This window comes from Homo sapiens, chromosome 5 (assembly GCF_000001405.40).
Source record: "Homo sapiens chromosome 5, GRCh38.p14 Primary Assembly".
Lineage (NCBI taxonomy): Eukaryota > Metazoa > Chordata > Mammalia > Primates > Hominidae > Homo > Homo sapiens.
The window spans coordinates 160,322,738-160,343,808 of NC_000005.10; the positions used below are offsets into that span (position 1 = coordinate 160,322,738).

A 21,071-nucleotide genomic window follows, 5' to 3' on the forward strand; every position below is an offset into this window, starting at 1 on the left:
TCTACTAAAGCTACAAAAATTAGCTGGGCGTGGTTGCGCAGCGCACCTGTAGTCCCAGCTACTTGGGAGGCTGAGGCAGAGGAATCGCTTGAAACAGGCAGGCAGAGGGAGGACGCAGTGAGCCGAGATTGCGCTACTGCACTCCAGCCTGGGAGACAGAGCAACACTCCATCTCAAAAAAAATTAAAAAAAAAAATAATAAAAATGTCCCTCAAGGCCAGGCGCGGTGGCTCACGACTGTAATCCCAGCCCTTTGGGAGGCTGAGGCGGGTGGATCACAAGGTCAGGAGCTTGAGACCAGCCTGGCCAATATGGTGAAACCCCGTCTTTACTAAAAACATACAAAAATTAGCTGGGTGTGGTGGCAGGTGCCTGTAGTCCCAGGTACTCGGGAGGCCAAGGCAAGAGAATTGCTTGAACCCGGGAGGCGGAGGTTGCAGTGAGCTGAGATCGTGACACTGCACTCCAGCCTGGGCAACAGAGCGAGACTCCAACTCAAAAAAAAAAAAAAAAGTCCCTCAAAAATTTGTTTGTTTGTTTAGAAGCAGTGTCTCACTATGTTGCCCAAGCTGGTCTTGAACTCCTGGCCTCTAGCAAAGCTCCCACCTCAGCCTCTTAAGTAGCTGGAATTATGGGTGTGAGCCACCGTGCCTGGCTCAAAAATATTTTTACTAGCTACATAATATTCTATCGTATAGGCAATTCATTTATTTAACCAGTCTTTCATTTTAGGTATTTTAAATATGACTAAGAGCTATTGGCAACTCATGCTGTTTCTGGCTTTTCTCTGTGCATTGTAAACAACACTGAGATGAAAATCCTAAAAACATCCTTTCTTTATGCTTCTCCAATATCCTGAGGATACACTCCTAGAAGTGAAATTGTTGTGATGAAGGGTGTGACAGTTAATTTTGTGCCTCCACTTGACTGGGCCAGGGGGTGCCCACATAATTAGTTAAACGCTGATCTGGGTATATCTGTGGGGGTTTCTACAGTCACATTTGAATTGGTGGACTGAGGGAAGCTGACTGCCCTCCCCAGTGTGGTGGGCTTCATCTAGTCAGTTGAAGACCTGAATAAAATAAAAAGGCTGAGTAAAAGAGAATTTCTTTTTCTGTCTGTCTTTGAGTTGGGACATTGATTTTTCCCACCTTTGGACTCAGATTGAAACATTGGCTCTTTCTGGGTTTCAAGCTCACCTGCATTCCGACGGGGACTATCCCCAAGACTCTTCTGGTGCTCAGGCCTGTGGGCTTGGGCTGGAGCTACACCCTCAGACCTCATGGGTCTCCAGCTTGCCAACTACAGATCTTGGGACTTGTCAGCCTCCATGAACATATTAATCAATTCCTTATAATCCATCAGTCCATTCGTCTTCTATTGGTTCTGGTTCTCTAGAGAAACTTGACTTATACAAAGGGTATGAATAGTTTTAAGACTTCTGAAATAGATTATGAATTGACCTCCAGGAAGGCTATACTAAAACATCCTCATCAACAATGTTAAAAAGTGGATTCTCACTAAGACTAAGTCATTGTTAAATCTATCTATCTGGCCAGGCGTGGTGGCTCATGCCTGTAATCCCAGCACTTTGGGAGGCCGAGGCAGGCGGATCACCTGAGGTCAGGAGTTCTAGACCAGCCTGGCCAACACAGTGAAACCCTGTCTCTATTAAAAATACAAAAATTAGCCAGGCGTGGTGGCGGGCACCTGTAATCCCAGCTACTCATGAGGCTGAGGCAGGAGAATTGCTTGAACCCAGGAGGTGAAAGTTGCAGTGAGCTGAAATCGTGCCATTGTACTCCAGCCTGGGCAACAAGAGCAAAACTCGGTCTCCAAAAAACAAAAACAAAAAGCAAAAACACAAAAACACACACAAAAAACTGTCTGTCTATCTATCTATCTATAATAAATATATATTTAGAATCAGTGTTTCCTCAAATTGATTATGAAATTGAATATATCATTGTAGTTCACATTTCTTTGCTCTCCAGCAAGACTGGTGTTTTCTGAATGTGACTATCTGTCATATGTATTTCTTCTTCTACAAACTGTCCTTTACCAATCTTTCTGTTGATGTCTTAGAGTTTTGCTAAAGGAAGAATTAGTTACTGAATTTGTTACACACGTTTTTCCTGCTGTCTTTAAATTTTGTGTTGGGCTTTTATGATCTACACTATAGAATACGAGCAGCCAAACCTTTTCTCCCTTTGCAAGGGTATATGCTTCCAAGGTACTTGGTGTGTGTGCTCATGGGAACTGGGTTCCAGGCCTGCCTCTGCCCTAGCTTGCTCTGTGGCCGTGGGCAAGTGACATCTCTCAGATCACAGCTTCCCCATCTGTCAGTGGGGGCAGAGGTGGTTAGACCTCTGAGCTTCCTCCTAGCTCTGGCATCCTATGATTTTAGTTCTTGAGCTAGAAATTGGGCATGTTGGCTCTGAGTTAAGAGCTCATTTTAAGAAACAGTTACTGCCTAGTACAGCAGTCTGTTAACTAGTCTCTCCATTTTTGATTGCTCCATGCCCCAATTGTTAATGGGCATTGCTAACACCAGCTTCCCTACAGTGCAGTTTTGAGCAGTCCATAAACCAGACTCCAGCCCCCTCAGCAGTCATTGGTCTCCTTTCCTGCTTGCCCAATCTTATCGCCTGTTGCTCCCTGTCAAAATGAATATTTCTGGTTCCTCAGATATTTTTGCTAATACTATTGCTTTTGCTGGGAATGTTACCACATCCTAAATTTCGTATGGAAAAACTTTACCTAACTGTTAAATCCCAGCTGAGCACCGTCTCCTCCATTAAGCCATTAGTGACTATTGCCTGTTCCAGGGGAATTTGTCACTCTTTTGAACTACAGTATTTTCCACATGCCATGGGTATTATGGTTGTTGATATTTATGTCCTATTTACTAAACAAAAGTATACACATATTTGAGGCAATATAAGCAAGCAAACTGGCAGCCCACACTGTATTTTCAGAATTGGGATTTTTTTTTAACATAAAAATCCTGATTTTCATCTTCTCTTGAAAGGTCAGAAGATCTAGCTTACATCCTCAAAGACAGGTCAGCAAGCCACAGCCTGTGGGCCAAATCTGACCTGGACTCTGTTTTTAGAAATAAAGTTTGATTGGAACACAGCCCCACCCATTTGTTTATATATTCACAGTGGATGCTTTCCTTTTACTGTGGCAGAGGTGAGTAGTTGAGACAGAGACTCTATGGCCTAGAAAGCCTATTTGCTATCCAGCCCTTTACAAAAAAGTTTGCCAACTCCTGCTACAAGGCACCAACTGTGGAGCGTGCACGTACTCCAGGACCTCTTCCTACTCCATATCAGACCTGGCCAGTTGCAAGTATTTATCCTGTCTTCCAAGGCCTTTGAAATACTAGAGTTTTTCATTCTTCTTAATCCTCTTGATCATATCCTAACACAATATGAAAGCCATTATGCCGGGTGGGGTGTGGGTAGGACAAGCCTGTAATCCAAACACTTTAGGAGGCTGAGGCAGGCGGATCACCTGAGGTCAGGAGTTTGAGACCAGCCTGGCCAATATGGTGAAACCCTGTCTCTACTAAAAATACAAAAATTAGCCAGGCATGGTGGCACGCATCTGTAACCCTAGCTACTTGGGTGGCTGAGGCAGGACAATCGCTTGAACCCGGGAGGTGAAGTTTGCAGTGAGCAAAGATTGTACCACTGCATTCCAACTGCATTCCAGCCTGGGCGACAGAGCTAGACTCTGTCTCCAAAAAAAAAAAAAAAAAAAAAAAGCCATTATGCCATAAAGGCAAGGCAATCTCTAAAATAAATATTCAAAACGATTACACTGCCAATATAAATTAAATGATCAACTCTAATCATAGTCCTCAGTAACTATAGCTACTGATAAAGTAGGTTCTTAGAGTTAAAAGCTTGAAATCAGCGGGTGGGTGTGCTCTTTGTGAAATTCCACCATGGCATACCATGGCCAGGGCCAGAAAGTGCAGAAGGTTATGGTGCAGCCCATCAATCTCATCTTCAGATAAACTTACAAAATAGATCGCAGATTCAGGTGTGGCTCTATGAGCAAGTGAATATGCGGATAGAAGGCTGTATCATTAGTTTTGATGAGTATATGAACCTTGTATTAGATGATACAGAAGAGATTCATTCTAAAACAAAGTCATGAATACGACCGAGTCGGATCATGCTAAAAGGACATAATATTACTCTGCTACGAAGTTTCTCCAACTAGAAATGAACAATGAAGTGAGAAATTGTTGAGATGGATACAGTTTGTTTTTAGATGTTTTTTGTCCAATATGAACATTTATTCGTATTGTTTTGATTACCCTTATGTTATTACAAGATGGCAATAAATGCTATGGGATTGTTTGTATTTAAAAAAAAAAAAAGCTCAAAGTCTAAAGTCAGATTGCCTGGACTCATACTCCAGCTGTGCCACCTATGTGAGCTGGGTGAGTCTTTGTTTCCTCGTCTGAATATAATGAGGATAACAGCAGTGCCTACCCTTGGATTGATGAAAGGAGTCCATTCAACTAATATTTAGTGATAGCTACTTTGTGTCAGGCACTGTGCTAGGCTCTTGGGAGCATCAGTGAGCAAAACAGCCACATTTCCACTTAGGAAGAGCTTAACTTAGGAAGATGTTGGGGGAAATGGAGCAGGCAGCAGACACCACTGATACCTGTTGCACAGCCACTTGGGCCACCACTGAGTTCAGCCACAGCCATAGGGGAAAGCTTTGACTCTTCTCTGGCTGCCAAAGCCTTCTCCAATGCAGCGATGTAGCTGGAACCAGTTTGGCTCTCAGGCAAGCACAACCTGGAAGGGAGGAATTAATGCCCAGAGGCAGCCCCCAACAAGGTGGGCCAGGAGTTGGCGATAGAGGATATGGCCCCCGTCCTTCAGAAGAACAACTCTGGGAGGCATTCTGTATGACCCTTGTCAGAGGTCCTGGCAGGATAAAGCTCCAGAGTAAGGAGAGACGCTAGTAACACCCTCACATTGACTTTGCACTTTTCCTGTCTCACCTTCCCTGCTTTCTGGCAACATTATCCAAATAAACTATCTGTATCCAAACCTGTTTCAGTGTCGGCTTTGGAGGAAATCCAAAGAAGAACAAATTGTAAACAAACAAAAACAAAAAAACAATACAAAAAAGTAGTAAGTGCCATGCAGAGAATGAAAACAGGTGTGAACAAAGTGAGTGATCAGACACCCCCTGACACTGGGGCCATGGAATGCCTCCATTGAGAGCTGAGTGACAGGAGGAATCCAGCCATGCCCCGGCTAGAGGATGAATACTCTGCAGAGGGAACAGCTGGTACAGAGGCTCACGCAGGAGTGCGCGTGGCATGTTAAAGAAGAGAAAGGGCAGCGAACCTGGAATTTAGTGGCTGAGGAAATGAGGTGAAGAGGAAGGCCAGATTGTGAGGGACTTTCCTGTAACCCAGGTATACTGATTTGGGACTTTATTCTAAATGCCATGGATGAGAAGTCATGGGAAGATTTTAAACACAGGAGGAACAGGGATTAATCTTCAGTTTCAAAATGTCACCCTGGCTGCAGCATGAGAGTGAGTTAGAGTAGGCAGTGAGTAGAAACAGGACACCCGTTAAGGAGGCTACTGCAGAACTCCTGGCAAGTGATACCGGTGGCTTGGACTGGTGTTGGAATAACGCGGATGAAGAGAAATAGATGATTTGGGATATGTTTTGTAAAGAATAATGGCGGACTGGGCATGGTGGCTCAAGCCTGTAATCCCAGCACTTTGGGAGGTCAAGGCAGTAAGATCGTTTGAGCTCAGGAGTTCAAGACCAGCCTGGGCAACACAGCAAGATACTGTCTCTTAAAAAAAAAAAAAGACTGGGCTTATTGGCTTACTCCTGTAATCCCAGCTCTTTGGGATCACGAGGTCAGGAGTTCAAGACCAGCCTGACCAATATGGTGAAACCCCGTCTCTATTAAAAATACAAAAAAAAAAAAAAATTAGCCGTGCGTGGTGGTATGTGCCTGTAGTCCCAGCTACTCAGGAGGCTGAGGGAGAAGAATCTCTTGAACCCAGGAGGCGGAGGTTGCAGTGAGCCAAGAGCACGCCACTGCACTCCAGCCTGGGCAAGAGAGCGAGACTCTGTCTCAAAAAAAAAAAGAAAAAGAAAAAATGAATAATGGCAACACACTAGGCCCTACTATATGCACAGAAAGATTGAGTAACTTATCCAAGGTTACCCAGGGCAGAGATTTGAACCAAGACCATCTGGTTCCACAGTCTGTACTCTAACCACGAGGCTCCCCTGCCTCACTGGAACCCATGCCTTGGCTGAGGAATCCGACATGGAGGTAAAGGGAAGAGGAAGCTAGGAGCCAAGCCACAGTCCTGGAGGTCCAGGTGTTAAAAACAATTTATGAGACAAAAAAACATTGTTTTGGACTGAGCCCCTATACTAGGCCCCAGCAGACCAGATCAAACCAGAATGGAGTCCCTCATGCTAGGTGCTATGTAGTCAAACTAAACTTAGAAACAGGAGAGTTTCTTGAAAAACAAGAGATTCACAGCAACCAACCCAAAGGGGCTCATCAACCTGAGCCAGTATGATAAGGAAGTCTTCTTTTTTTTTTTTTTTTTTGAGACAGAGTCTCGCTCTGTTGCCCAAGCTGGAGTGCAGCGGCATGATCTCGGCTCACTGCAAGCTCCACCTCCCGGGTTCATGCCATTCTCCCGCCTCAGACTCCAGAGTAGCTGGCACTACAGGCGCCCACCACCACGCCGGCTAATTTTTTGTATTTTTAGTAGAGATGGGGTTTCACCGTGTTAGCCAGGATGATCTCGATCTCCTGACCTCATGACCCACCCACCTTGGCCTCCCAAAGTGCTGGGATTACAGGTGTGAGCCACTACGCCCGGCCTCTTCTTTAACCCTCTAAGGAAAGTAACTTGGAAATGACCCATCTGCTTTTTGATCCTTGTTTCTACTTTCTTCAGCCTTTTTCTGCCTATAAAGCCCACCACCTCTGCTCAGCTCATTGGAACACCTTTCTATTTTGCAGATGGGATCTGTCCAATTCATGAATTGCTAATAAAAGCCAATTAAATCTTTGAAACTCAATTTGTTGACATTTCATTCTTTGAGACAGGTATTGTTAGGACACCCGTCCGCTGTCCTCCACATCACCACTGTGGTTATGGAGAGACCACCACCCTCTCTTTGCTCCTGGCAAGACCCCCACCCCTGCCTCTTTCCAACACAGACTCATCACCATGACCTGCCTTGAGACCACAGTGAGGCACCTGAGCCTTCTTCATGTCTGTTACTATAGAAGCTCAGGTCTCCCCTTGCTCCTTCAGATTTGAATCCTCATGTCCCGCCTTGCCATTGTCCCCAATTCTGACCCTGTCTCCTGAAACCTGCCACTCTGTTCTGGACCCTGGTCCAAATCTCTCAGGGTCCCCTTGATCTTCTTACTCTCATTCCTGGGCTGCACATTCATATCACCTCAAGGGCTTAAAAACATCCTGAAGTCCAGGCTCCTCACCAGACCAATAAAATAAAATTTCAGATTGTGGCATCCAGGTATTGGCATGTTCTCAAAATTCCCCAGGTGTTTCTAATTTGTGGCTGGGTCAAGAACCACAGATGGAACAGACCCTGGCTCTCCCTGAGAGCTCAGCTGCCTTAAGTGGTGGCTGTGTTCACTTCCTGCCGCCTCCGCACCATGGGCCTAAAGGTGTCGTGGGCTCCTCTCTCCTCTCGGCTCCCCCTTGTCACTGCCATTCTCTTCTCCATCATTGTTCCTGTAAAACCTTCAGGCTTTAAACCTCATGTCTTCAAAGTGCACCTCCTGGCCACCAGGTCACCCCTGATTGCTTGAGGATTTTAGCTCCTGGCTCATGATCACTCTCTCTAACACTGCTCCTGTCTTTTCTTTTCTTTTTTTTTTTGAGACAGAGTCTCCCTCTGTTACCCAGGCTGGAGTGCAGTGGTGCGGTCTCGGCTAACTGCAACCTCCTCCTCCTGGGTTCAAGCAGTTCTCCTGCCTCAGCCTCCCAAGTAGCTGGGATTACAGGCATGCGCCATCATGCCTGGCTAATTTTTGTATTTTTAGTAGAAATGGGGTTTCACCATGTTGGCCGGGCTAGTCTCGAACTCTGATCTGCCCACCTTGGCCTCCCAAAGTGCTGGGATTATAGGCGTGAGCCACTGTGCCCGGCCCACTGCTCCTGTCTTAATTCTCAGTGTTTTCAATATCCAAACAGATAGATGGACCTTCTGAGACTCTGATCCCCTGTCCTCTAATCCCCTGTCTTCCATCTCACCTCAGCTGTTCCTTGTGATGGTCTTGCACCATCCATGGTCTCAGCGTCCAATAACTCCTCGACCACTCACCACTTATCACTTGCCATCTTTCCAGCTCACCCTCACTAGGACCCAGACCCCAGTTATCCTTGAAGCCCTGAATCTTTTCTTTTCTTTCTTTCTTTCTTTTTTTTTTTTTTTTTGTGAGATGGAGTCTTGCTCTGTCGCCCAGGCTGGAGTGCGGTGGCGTGATCTTGGCTCACTGCAAGCTCTGCCTCCCGGGTTCACACCATTCTCCTGCCTCAGCCTCCCAAGTAGCTGGGACTACAGGTGCCCACCACCACGCCCGGCTAATTTTTTTGTATTTTTAGTAGGGACAGGGTTTCACTGTGTTAGCCAGGATGGTCTTCATCTCCTGACCTCGTGATCCGCCTGCCTCAGCCTCCCAAAGTCCTGGGATTACAGGCGTGAGCCACCGTGCCCAGCCCGAAGCCCTGGATCTTATCTCCTCTCTGCTGTCTCACCTCCTCTCTTCTCACCTTTTCCAGATTCCATTCCAAAGTCAATCAGTGGAATCAATCATTTGCATCTACCCTTAACCCTCTTGACTTTCTCATAACTTGCAGCATCCACTTGGTCAACCTTCAACCCAGGTTCAATACAGCTGCCTGTTCTGCACCAGATCCTGTGCACTGACCGTGATGGGACAGAAACACAGCCATACTAATGGCCTTCCAGTAAAGTCACCATCATTAAGCACAAATGGGTTTTCCATTTGGCTGAGCAAGCCTACTATATTTCTCTTGTCTGGTGGGTCTCAAGGATGGTCCCTGAACCAGCAGCATCAGCATCATCTGGGAACTTGTTAGAAATGCAAATTCTCAGACCCCATGTCAGAGCTACTCAATCATAATACTCTGGGGGTGGGCCCAGCACTCTACTTTAACCAAGCCTCTGGTGAGTCTGATGCATGGGCCCCAGTATATACCATTGCTAGAATCTGTTTCCCCTCCCTCTCTCCAAGATGAATATTTCATGCCATCTCTTCTCCCTGCTGACGTCTAATACTTCCTCACCCCTCCTCACATTCAGCTAGCTTCCTTATACACTAAGAACATAGGAAAAATCAGAGGAACTTCCACAAGCTCCCACACCACACCTCTGCCTCCTCTTACTGCACCTGTACCCACACATGCTGCCTGCTTTCTTTTATTGAGGACACACTGGCCATCTGGCCTTAAAACCAGGCCCCACGACTTCCCTGGTCCAAGCTGCCACCAACTCTCCACTGGATAGTGGCAAAAGCTCCCTAACCAGTCGCCTTACATCTGCCCTTGCCCCTCTCCCCAACTTTGCCCAGCCAGAATGACTCCATCAAAATGCAATTCACATTCTTCCTTTGCCCAAAACCCCTCAGTGATTCTTCATCTCACTCAGAGTAAAGGCCTATACCTACAGGGCCCTGTGTGATCTGCCTACACCTTTGTTAACCTGTCTGACCTCATCTTCTCCCACGGTCCCCACCCTGTCCACCTGCTCCCACCACACTGGCCTCTTGCTTGTCCTCAGACATTCTGGGCATGCTCCCACCTCAGGGCCTCCACACTTGCCGTTCTTCCCAGCCCCACATATCTGTACAGCCAGCTCTCCAATATCCTTCAAGTTTTTACTCCATGTCATCTTAGCAGGGGGGCTTTTCCCAGCCACCTATTATAGTTTCAACTACTGACCCTTCCATATGTCTTCTCTGCTTTTTTTTTTCTCCTAGTCCTTAGCACTATCTAATAGACTACATATTTGGCTTTTAAAATCTTGTTTACTCTCTGTCTCCTGGGTGGAGCATAAAGTCCATGATGGCAGAAATATCTTACACTTTTCTTCTCCATCGCAGTGCCCAGCTGAGTGCCAGGCATAGAAGTGGATCAGTGAATTAAGACCATCAACCTCATCAACGATTCTCTTCCTCCGCTGGGCATGGTGGCTCACATCTGTAATCCCAGCACTTTGGGATGCCAAAACAGCAGGATTGCTTGAGCTCAGGAGTTTGAGACTGGCCTGGCCAACATATGACTACCCAGTCTCTACAAATTTTTTTTTTTTTTTTGAGATGGAGTCTCGCTCTGTCGCCCAGGCTGGAGTGCAGTGGCACGCTCTCGGCTCATTGCAAGCTCCGCCTCCCAGGTTCACGCCATTCTCCTGCCTCCGCCTCCCGAGTAGCTAGGACTACAGGCACCCGCCACCACGCCCGGCTAATTTTTTTGTATATTTTAGTAGAGATGGGGTTTCACCGTGTTAGCCTGGATGGTCTTGATCTCCTGACCTCGTTATCTGCCCACTTCAGCCTCCCAAAGTGCTGGGATTACAGGCATGAGCCACCGTGCCCAGCCCAAAAATTTTTTTAAAAAGTAGCCAGGCATGGCAGTGTGCACCTGTAGTCCCAGCTACTCAGAAGGCTGAGGTAGAAGGATTGTTTGAGCCTAGGAGGTCAAGGCTGCAGTCACCCATGATCACACCACTGCACTCCAGCCTGGGTAACAGAGTGAGACCCTGTCTCCAAAAAAAAAAAAAAATCCCTTTCTATTTTCCCTCTAGCTAAGAGAACAAGCTTCCACTATAATCCCCTTAGGTGGAGTTGTTTTCTGTCCCTCTCCCCTTGTACCAAGAGGACCAAGCGGAAGGTGGTGACCCCTGCTCCCCATCACCACACCCAAGCCACTCTCCTTCCCTTCTCTACGCCCCCTTGCTTAGCAATTCACATCATCAGACTAGTCCATCTTGCCCCTGTATCCTGTGGACCCCCAGGGTTTTCCCCTCACTCCTAGAAGAGCTGAGTTGGTGCCTTGCTGTTGCAATTCCAACATTGCTTCATCAGAATTCTTGGTGATTTTGCTGTCTTGGTAGATGATTCATCCAAGACCCAGGTTTTTCAGTTCCTTAAAGTCCTATCCAACAATCGTATTCTCCACCCTAACTCAGCCACTTACTCTGTGGCCAAAACTCAGACTCTGTTGTTACTGATAATTGCAAACCATCCATTTCAGGAATCGCATGCTGTGACCAACAACACTGTCTTGCCAGCTCACCCCTCAGGCACCCCAACTTCAGCAACCACCCTACTCCATTGGGTCCTCCATCCATTGATCCCTCCACCTTTTCACTGCCTCGCCCACCGCTGTCATGCCCGTGCTACACACAGTGCAGATTCCATGGCTCACCATTAAATCCTTTGGTTGTACACAATCTCCACTAGGCTGCCTACTCTCGATTCATGATTTTTACCCAGCAAAAACCCAGCCCTTATCAAAGGCAACATTCCACCTACTCAGCACCTGCGCAACCAGAGGGCACAATAAAATGATACAAATCCATGCCGATGGCCTCACTTTAAATCAATCACAATAGCTATTCTCATAGTGCTCTCCATGGGCAAGGTACCATTATAGGTGCCTGACATACAGTAAGTCATTTAATCCTCACGACAACCTTATGAGATACTACTATTATCATCCTCATTTCAAGATGAGAAAACTGAAGCACAGAAAGGTTAAGAGACTTGTCCAAGATCACACAGCTGGGTGGAGGAATTAGAACAGAACCGGCAATTCAGCCCCAGAATTGATACTCAGGACCACTACACTGGCCTCTCGGGATCCATGAACTTCACACACCGCTGTTGTCGAGCATTTCTCCCACAATTCCTTTGGCCAGCCTTCTCACATGAGACCTGGCATCAGATCCACCTGGAGGGTTTGTTAAGAACAGATGGCTGGACCCCATTCTCTGGGCTTCCAAATCCATGACAAGAAAATGTGGGCTGATGATGAGCCTTTCCAACAACTGCCCAGGCGGTGCTGCTGTACAGTTCAGTGACATTAATTACATTCACACTGTTGTGCAACCATCACGACTGTGTCCTAATGTTTTATATATAGATTATACATTTTGGCCGGGCACAGTGGCTCATGCCTCTAATCCCAGTACTTTGGGAGGCCAAGGTGGGCAGATCACTTGAGGTCAGAAGTTTGAGACCAGCCTGGCCAACATGGTGAAATCCCATCTCTACTAAAAATACAGCAATTAGTCAGGTGTGGTGGCATGCGCCTGTAATCCCAGCTACTGGGGAGGCTGAGGCAGGAGAATCACTTGAACCTGGCAGGCAGAGGTTGCAGTGAGCAGAGATCATGCCACTGTACTCCAGCCTGGGCAAGAGAGCGAGACTCCATCTAAAAGAAAAATTACATTTTAATATATCTGTTTATATATAATGTAGACTATATAGTTTATGATCTATTTATATATCTATATTTTTATGTACCTGGATATATAGAATTTATATATTTTTATATACAGAAAATCCCAAAGAATCCACAAGAAAGTTGCTAGAGTACAGCTTCCTATTGTCTCTTGCCTGGGCATGTTTTGCCTCCATTCCTCCACCCAAAATGCTCTTTCAAGGTCTCTGATCTCCATCTTGCTAAAGCCAATGGTCAACACTTAGTCTGCATCATCTGATATGGTTGATCATTCCTTCGTCTTTCTTTCTTTCTCTTTTTTTTGAGATGGGGTCTCTGTTGCCCAAGCTGGAGTGCAGTGGCGTGATCATAGCTCGCTGCAGCCTTTGAACTCCTGGGCTCAAGAGATCCTCCTGCCTCAGCCTCTCAGATAGCTGGGACTATAGACAAATGCCATCATGTCTAATTTTTTTTTTTGAAATTTTTTTTTTTTTTTGTAGAAACAATGTTTTGCTTTGTTGTCCAAGCCATTCTCAAATTCCTGGCTTCAAGTGATCCTCCCGCTTCAGCTTCCCAAAGTGCTAGAATTACAGGCATGAGACACTACACCCAGACCCCTTGCTCTTTTTAACAGTATCTTTGGTTTCCAGCATCACAGTCTCTTGATTCTCTTCTAGCTCTGTAGCAACCACTTACTTTTCAGTCCTCCTCATCGTCCACAATCCAAATACCAGAGTGTCCCAGGACTCAGTCTTCAGACTCTCCCCTTCTTTATTTGAATTCTTCCCCCTTGTGATCTCTCTAGAACCATGGCTTAAAAGCCATCTATAGACTGAGGACTTCTAAATTTATATCGTCAGTCCAGAACTCTTCTCTGAACTCCAGACTCATACATTCAACTACCCATTTGCCATCTCAACTTAGTTGTTGATGACAGTCCTCAAAAGAATATGTCTACATCAAATGTCTGGAACCTGTGAATGTGGCCTTATTTGGAAAAAGGGTCTTTGCAGATGTAATTAAGGGTCTTGAGGTGAGAAGATCTCTAAGAGGGTCCCTAAGTCAAATAGAAGTGTTCTTATAAGACACAAAGAGAGGAGAACCACTCAGAAGAGGAGAAGGCTGTGTGACCAAGGAGGCAGAGACTGCAGCAATGCAGCTGCAAGTCAAGGAATGCTGATGGCCACCAGAAGCTGGAAGAGGCAAGGAACAGAATCCAACCAAGATCCTTCAGAGTAAGCGCGGCCCTGCTGCTGACATGTAGATGTCAGACTCTGGGTTCCAGAACTGTGGGAGAATCCATTTCTGTTGTTTTAAGCCACAGTTTGTGGTAATCTGTTATGGCAGCTCTAGGAAACTTACACAGATGTTTTATAGACATCTCTGACACAATGTTTCTCAAAACAAACTCTATTTACTCACCTCCTGCTCCCATCCACAGAGCCTGCTCCTCCCACTCCTCCCAGGAGCAGTGTTTCCCATCCTGGTGAAGGGCAATTCCAGCCTTAAAGTTGCTCAGGCAAAAACCTTTATGTCAGTGTTGACCCTTCACTTTCCGTCACAGGCCACATCCAAATACTCAGTGAAACCTGTTGGCTCTATCTCCAAAGACGGCCAAAATTACATCGTTTCTTACCTCTTTCCTGCAACCACTTGGGGCCAAGCTCCCATCATCCCTTGCTGGGATTTTTTTTTTCCTCCCTCCCTCCCTTCCTTCCTTCTTTCTTTTTCTTTCTTTTTTTTTTTTTTTTTTTTGACAGGGTCTAGCTCTGTTGCCCAGCTTGGAGAGCAGTGGCACGATCATGGACTACTGCAGCCTCTGCCTCCTGGGCTCAAGCAATCCTCCCACCTCAGCCTTCTGAGTAGCTGGGGCTACAGGCACGTACCACCATGCCCGGCAAATTTTTGATTTTTTTTTTTTTTAGGGTGTAGAGACAGGTTTTCACCATGTTGCCCAGGCTGGTCTTGAACTCCTGGGCTGAAAAGATCCTTCTGTCTCGCCTCGCCTCCCAAAGTGCTGGGATTACAGGTGTAAGCCACCGAACTTGGCTGCTGGGATTATTAAACTAATCTCCTGTCTCCCTCTTTTGTCATTGCCCCTCACAGTCTATTCTCAAATAGTAGCTGGAGGAATGCTGTTATAATTGAAACCAGACTTCATCGCGCATCTGCTCAAAGCCCTCCAATTATTTCACGTCTCACTCAGCATAAAAGCCAAGTGGTTACCAGTTCTGCAGGGCCCTACATGATCTGGGTGCTTGTAACCTTTCTGAGGTCATCACCTGCCACTCTCTTCCTGTTACTCTGCTCCTTGAGCCAACCATGTTGACTCCCACCTTAGGGACGTTGCATTGAGAATGTCGGGGGTTGGGAAGGAGCTGGTAGAGCTCCTTCCAACAAAATGTTGCCAGGTTACATTTTGTGCCATTGGAGATTTGTAGGCATGAATTGAAAGTAGGCCCAATCAGCACAGTTACGTGTTCTTCTTAATATTTAGTTGGAAATGAGTGAATTGTGAACAAATGTGAACCTGAAAGAACCAATCCTTCAAGATAGATCCTGAGTGGCTAACTGGGCCTAAATTTAAAATAGAGCCAAATGACCATTTGCTGACTACAGATCACACACATACTCTGAGTTCTGCAAACACCCCTCACCTCCGTTTAATTTTGGGACTTTCAGGGCTCACCTCAACCAACCAGAGCTCACCTACTTCAGCCAATCAGGGCTCAGCTGTATCAATCAAGCAGAACTCAGCTGTATCAACAATTCAGAACTAAGCAAGTTTGAATCCTTCATTTGCATAAACATGTTTGATTGGAAACCTATGTGGGAACTTTTTCTATAAAAGCTAAACCTGGCTCACTCCTGTAGTCCCAGCACTTTGGGAGGCCAAGGCGGGTGGGTCATTTGAGCCCAGAAGTTGGAAGCCACCCTGGGTAACATGGTGAAACCCCGTCTCTACAAAAAAACACAAAAAAGCTAACTGGGTGTGGTGGCATGGGCCTGTAGTCTGAGCTATTTGGGAGGCTGAGGCGGGAGAATCTTGAGCCCAGAGAAGGTTGCAGTGAGCTGAGATCACGCCACTGCACTCCGACCTGGGTGACAGAGTGAGACCCTGTCCCCCTCAACTCCCCCACCCCCCAAAAAAAGCCAAACCTTCTCTTTGTCTCTGGAACGTATCTTCATTTTACACTAAAGGCTGTGTCCCCTTGGTTTGTAAACTGTTCACTGAAATAAAGCCTGTTTCCTCCAAATTCCTTTTTAGAGAACTTTTATTCACAGAATTAAGAAAGAGAAGGATTGGGTTTGGCTGGATTAAGGTTTTGCTAGGAAAGAATGATGAGAGAAAAGGGCAAGAATGTAAGGGCTATTTGTATAAGGGAATGATTATAATCTTGGCCCATGAGATCTCAGATGGGTAAGAAGGACTTAGGTAATGCGTATAAAGCACTTACCATAGGGCCTGGCACATTTTAAAAGCTCAGTAACTGTATTCATCCTAGGTATACTAAAACTACTCTTCTTCTTCTTTTTTTTTGAGACTAAGTCTGGCTCTGTCACCCAGACTGGAGTGCAGTGGCGCGATCTCAGCTCATTGCCACTTCTACCTCCGGGTCCAAGCGATTCTCCTGCCTCAGCCTCCTGAGCAGCTGGGATTATAGGCACCTGCCACCATGCCCGGCAAATTTTTGTATTTAGTAGAGATGGGGTTTCACCCTGTTGGCCAGGCCGGTCTCGAACTCCTGACCTTGTGATCCACCCACCTCGGACTCCCAAAGTGCTGGGATTCCAGGCATGAGCCACCGCACCCAGGCTAAAACTACTCTTAAACCTCAAAAAGACCTGGCAAAATTAACCACAGTGCCATGCTCTAGCCTAGCACTTGCAATTAAACCTCAATCTCTATAAACAAGAGATGGCTTTGAAGATAGAGCAATAAAATCCAAGACATGGATAATACTTAAGAAATGTGCATATATATATAATTTATATATATATATGTATGGTATAAACAAATCAAATGTATAATTGCCAGAGTGAAAGTGATTATCACTTTGTAACTCTATATAATGAGCAACATGCAAAACAAAAAAAAAAAACAAAAAAAAACGCCAAAACCCCAAAACACATCCAAACACGTTCTTCAATTTAAATACATTAAGATTTACTTACTCCTCCAAGTGTTTGTAATATTTCAGTACCATTTCAGCCTCATAATATTGTGGTTTTCTTTTAGACGTATGCCTCATTTTCCAAATCTTTGTCGACTTGCTTTCAGTTATCCATTAGTGCTGACACAGAAAGTGTTTTTTCATCTGTTACTCATATCTGCCAAGTTGCAAGCTGTGGTTGACTAATTGGAAACACACAACCAAATGGATCAACTTTATCAGCGTGTTCCAGGTACTCAAGGCCACGGCCCATTTTCCTCAAGCTTCAATATGATTCAAAGATTTGGCTGAGAAAAACATTTTATTTTTATGTTCATACAAATAGAGATGTTAATAAGGAGAATGTCAAAATCACATATATTCGAAAGATTAAAACACATCAGCAAAATTCACGAGCTGGGCCATGGATCAAGAAATCAACAGATGGGAGTTATAGTAGGAGGTGCCATCTGCCAATTCAAGGTCCCGCTAATTTAGGACTAAGACAAACCCTCTGTGACAACGCTGTGGTGGAGGGAATTATTTCTACATTTTTGAGCCGAGCACCTGGGTGGATGGAGTTGCCAGTTATTAAAATGAGGGAGTTGGGGCTGGAACAGTTTCAGGTTCAAGCCCCTGATGGTTTAATTCCAACTGCAGGAGCCTCAATTTCATTATCTATGAAATGGATGCCCATTTGCAATTTCCTCAATCCTATTATTGATTTTTTGGCATTTCTGCTATTGAGAATGTGTCTTAATTAATAAATTAATCCATTTGAAGGGTCTTTTAACAGACAAATTTTAAAATTGAAAGCATTTCTTTTACATGGTGTTGATTTAAAATGTAACAAAGAAGACAGGACCTGGCTCATGAGGTTGCTGTGAGGATTCAATTTGTTAAAGTGTGGGGTTGTCTGTAAAGCATTTCGGAGTGTCTGGACCCTAGGGCCGATGAGGGCAAGTGAGAAGGGCTGCAGCCTGAGTGAGGATGTTCCACTTCCTACTCCTGTGTGTTGCTAAGATCTCCACCATCACCTCACCGAACCTGAGCAGAAAAAGCCCAGGAAAAGCATCCCCATCCTACTCTGGGGGATTATTTCTTATTTATAGTTTGTTCAGAGATATGCATTTCTCTTGAGCTGTTTCCTACCCTGCCCCCCTTTTCTTGTTACTCACTATGAAACCTACTTCAGGACAAGGTCAGATTCTGACCCACACAATCAGCATCTCTGCAGGGGGATCTTGAGTTCACATTTATTTCCTGTTTACATGTGAGTGTTTTATTGTACAAGACACTCCAGGGGGCTGGGCAAGGTGGCTCATGCCCTGTAATCCCAGCACTTTGGGAGGCTGAGGTGGGTGGATCACTTGAGGTCTGGAGTTTGAGACCAGCCTGGGCAACATGGCAAAACCCCTTCTCTACAAAAAGGACAAAAATTATCTGGACATGGTGGCAGGTGCCTGTAATCCCAGCTACTCAGGAGGCTGAGGCAGGAGAATTACTTGAACACGGGAGGTGGAGGTTGCGGGGAGCCAAGATCACTGCACTCCAGCCTGGGCGACAGAGCAAGACTCCATCTTAAAAAAAAAAAAAAAAAAAGACAACAGCAAAACTCCAGGGACCACCGTCAGGTCAATGGTCCATAAATGCCATCCATGATCTCTCTGACCAAGGACTCTAGCCATGGTGGCCTCTTGGCTATTCCTTCAACCCACCAGGCTTACTCTTGCTTCAGGTTCAGATATTTCCACTGCCTGAAATGCTCCCTGCTACCTTCCACCCCTACCCTCATATATTCTCATCTCACTTTCTAAAAGGACTGTACTCAAATGTTGCCTTTGCAGTAACAGCTTCCCTAACCACCCCCATAAAGCTGTAATCCACCCTTAACCAGCACCCCCATTTTCTCCCCTACTTTATTTTCTCTCCGTAGCACTTTGACCATCTAACCCCATTTTATTTTATGTTTACTTGGTTTATTGCCAGTCTCTGTATTAGAATGTAAGTTCCACGAAGGCAGGAATCCTTCTCTGTCTTGTTCACTGCTTTATCTCCAGGGCCCAGAACAGAGCCTGGCATATAAAGGTCCTCAGTAAGTGCTGTTAAATAAAATGTGTAGGAGGCCATTGGTTTAGACTGAACTCCTGCGTTAGGCCCAACTGAATAAACCAAAATGGGATCAGTCATGCTGAAGTTCCGTGTCACCCAGCCAAAACTAAGTTGTTTATCTGACCTTCCCAGAAATCAGGAGAGACAATAGCCAAATTTCTAAACAAGCTAGTTTTAGCTGGTATGATAAGGAAGTCCTCTCTTCTTTAACCTTCACAAGGAAAGTAACTTTGAAGCAACCCATCCGCTTTTTGCTTTCTGTTTCTGCTTTCCTCAGCCCTTTTAGGTCTATAAAACCAACATTCTCTGCTCCGATTCTAGGAACACTCATTCTGGTTTACGGAATATGAGGTATTGCCTGATTCTAGAATTGCAAATAAAAGCCAATTAAGATCTTTAAATTTGTCAAAATTTTGTCCTTTGACAGCATTTATTTCAATAACTCGTCTTTTACGTATTCAGCATTTCCCTTCTTCAAGTTGGGATTTGGGGCCAAAAGGGATGACTACTTTTTATAATTTTTCATCTAGGTTGTTTCAGTGTATCAATAGTTTGTTTCTTTTTATTGCTGAGTGGTATATCATGGTATGGATGCATCACAGTTTGGTCAACCAGCAAGTACAAAGGCCTGGAGTGGGGAATGAGCTTGCCACCCCTTCAAGTGACAGGAGACCAGGTGGCTAAAGAGAAAGAGGTTATTTATCACACTAGGCTCTGAGCAGCAGAACCTCAAGAAGCTAAGGAGCCATAGAGGGCAGGTGAAGGATGTTCCTTGAGGTTTTTTTCATAACTCAGTTCTCAAGCTCAGTCTCATCTGACCTCCACAGGAACTTTGCCTTGGGAGGAACCCCGCCCCCCACCCCATACCTTCCACAGCTCCTGACACTCTCAAAGGAGTGGATCAGATCCTGGCCAACAGCCAGCAGCATCCAGTCCTGGCAGTGCCAACTGTGGGTCAGCTGACTTCATTTCTTCTCCTCTCACTGGTCTGCAGGCTTGGTCTGCGTCAGAGGGAAGATGGTGGGCAGGGTGCGGAGATACAGCCCTGAAGACTCTGCTCTCCCTGACTGGCCACGGGAGCTGACACAGTATTACCAAGGTCCCTCAGGCTCCATCTGTCAGTTCCAGAAATTCAGTCACCTTGGAGAAAGCCTTCTGGCAGCAGAACTGGTGAATCATAAAGTCAAAAAAAAATCCAAGCTAGAAGGGAACTCAGAGATCACTGAGTCCAGCCAGAGAGATGGCTATTCCCTGCAACAGCTCTCTCAAGTGTTTTACGAGCTATCTGCCTATGAGTCTCAATGTGGCTGCACCACAGACTCAGCTGGGGAGTTTCCAAAAATTCCCAATGTCCAGGCTGTACTCCAGACTAATTGCATTAGAGTCACTTGGTGGGTGGGAGACAGGATTAGAAGTCTTACCACTCCACCCAGGTGCAACCACGGTTAGAACCAGAGTTGTGGTCCCTGGCAGCCTGGATGTCAGAGGGCTGTAGTCATTATGACCATGACCTCTGAGGTCTGAAGGACTTGGATTTGAGCTCCTGCTGTGCAACTTCTCCAACTGGGTAACCTCAGTCAACTTTCTGAACCTCTTCTAGCCTCTATTTCTTCATCTGTGGAAAGTGGATCATCGTAATACACCTACCTTACATGTTGTTCTCAAGGCCAAACGTATTAATCCATGAAAAGCACACAGTGTTTCATTCCTAGTAAGAACTCAGTAAATGTTAGTTTTTATTGTTATTACTTTCCCAAGGTCTAGCATTCTATTAGAAAGCTCTTCTGGGCCGAGCGACGTGGATCATACCTGTAATCCCAGCACTGTGGGAGGCCCAGGTGGGTGGATTACCTGAGGTCAGGAGTTCGAGACCAGCCTGGCCAACATGGTGAAACCCCATCTCTACTAAAAATACAAAAATTCACCAGGTGTAGTGGCGGGTGCCTGTAATTCCAGCTACTCAGGAGGCTAAGGCAGAAGAATCGCTTGAACCCTGGAGGCAGAGGTTGCAGTGAGCCAAGATGGCACCACTGCACTCCAGCCTGGGCGACAGAACAAGACTCTATCTCAAAACAAACAAACCAACCAACAAACAAAATGAAAGCTCTTCTATAGGGTAAGTTGAAATGTTTCTCCTATAGCTGCAAGAGTGGTCTTCTCAAAACCCAAGTCTGCTTATGTCACTTGCCCCCTTAAAATCATTCTGTGGTTTCCTGTTATTCTCATGGTCAAGATAGCCATCTTTAGTTTGACCTATCAGCCTTCAAGGTCTGG

At 45.7% G+C, this 21,071-nt stretch overlaps 1 protein-coding gene and 1 pseudogene across 1 annotated transcript in view; one reads left to right on the plus strand and one right to left on the minus strand.

Annotated features, from left to right (window-relative positions):
- Nucleotides 1–16,833, minus strand: part of CCNJL (cyclin J like) — a 90,488-nt gene extending 73,655 nt beyond the window's left edge. The window contains exon 1 of the transcript NR_131769.2: nt 16,708–16,833. The gene's annotated coding sequence lies outside the window, so the exon portion shown is untranslated. The remainder of the gene's footprint in view (nt 1–16,707) is intronic.
- SNRPEP1 (SNRPE pseudogene 1) lies at nt 3,922–4,388 on the plus strand (annotated as a pseudogene).
- Nucleotides 16,834–21,071: the final 4,238 nt, after the last annotated feature.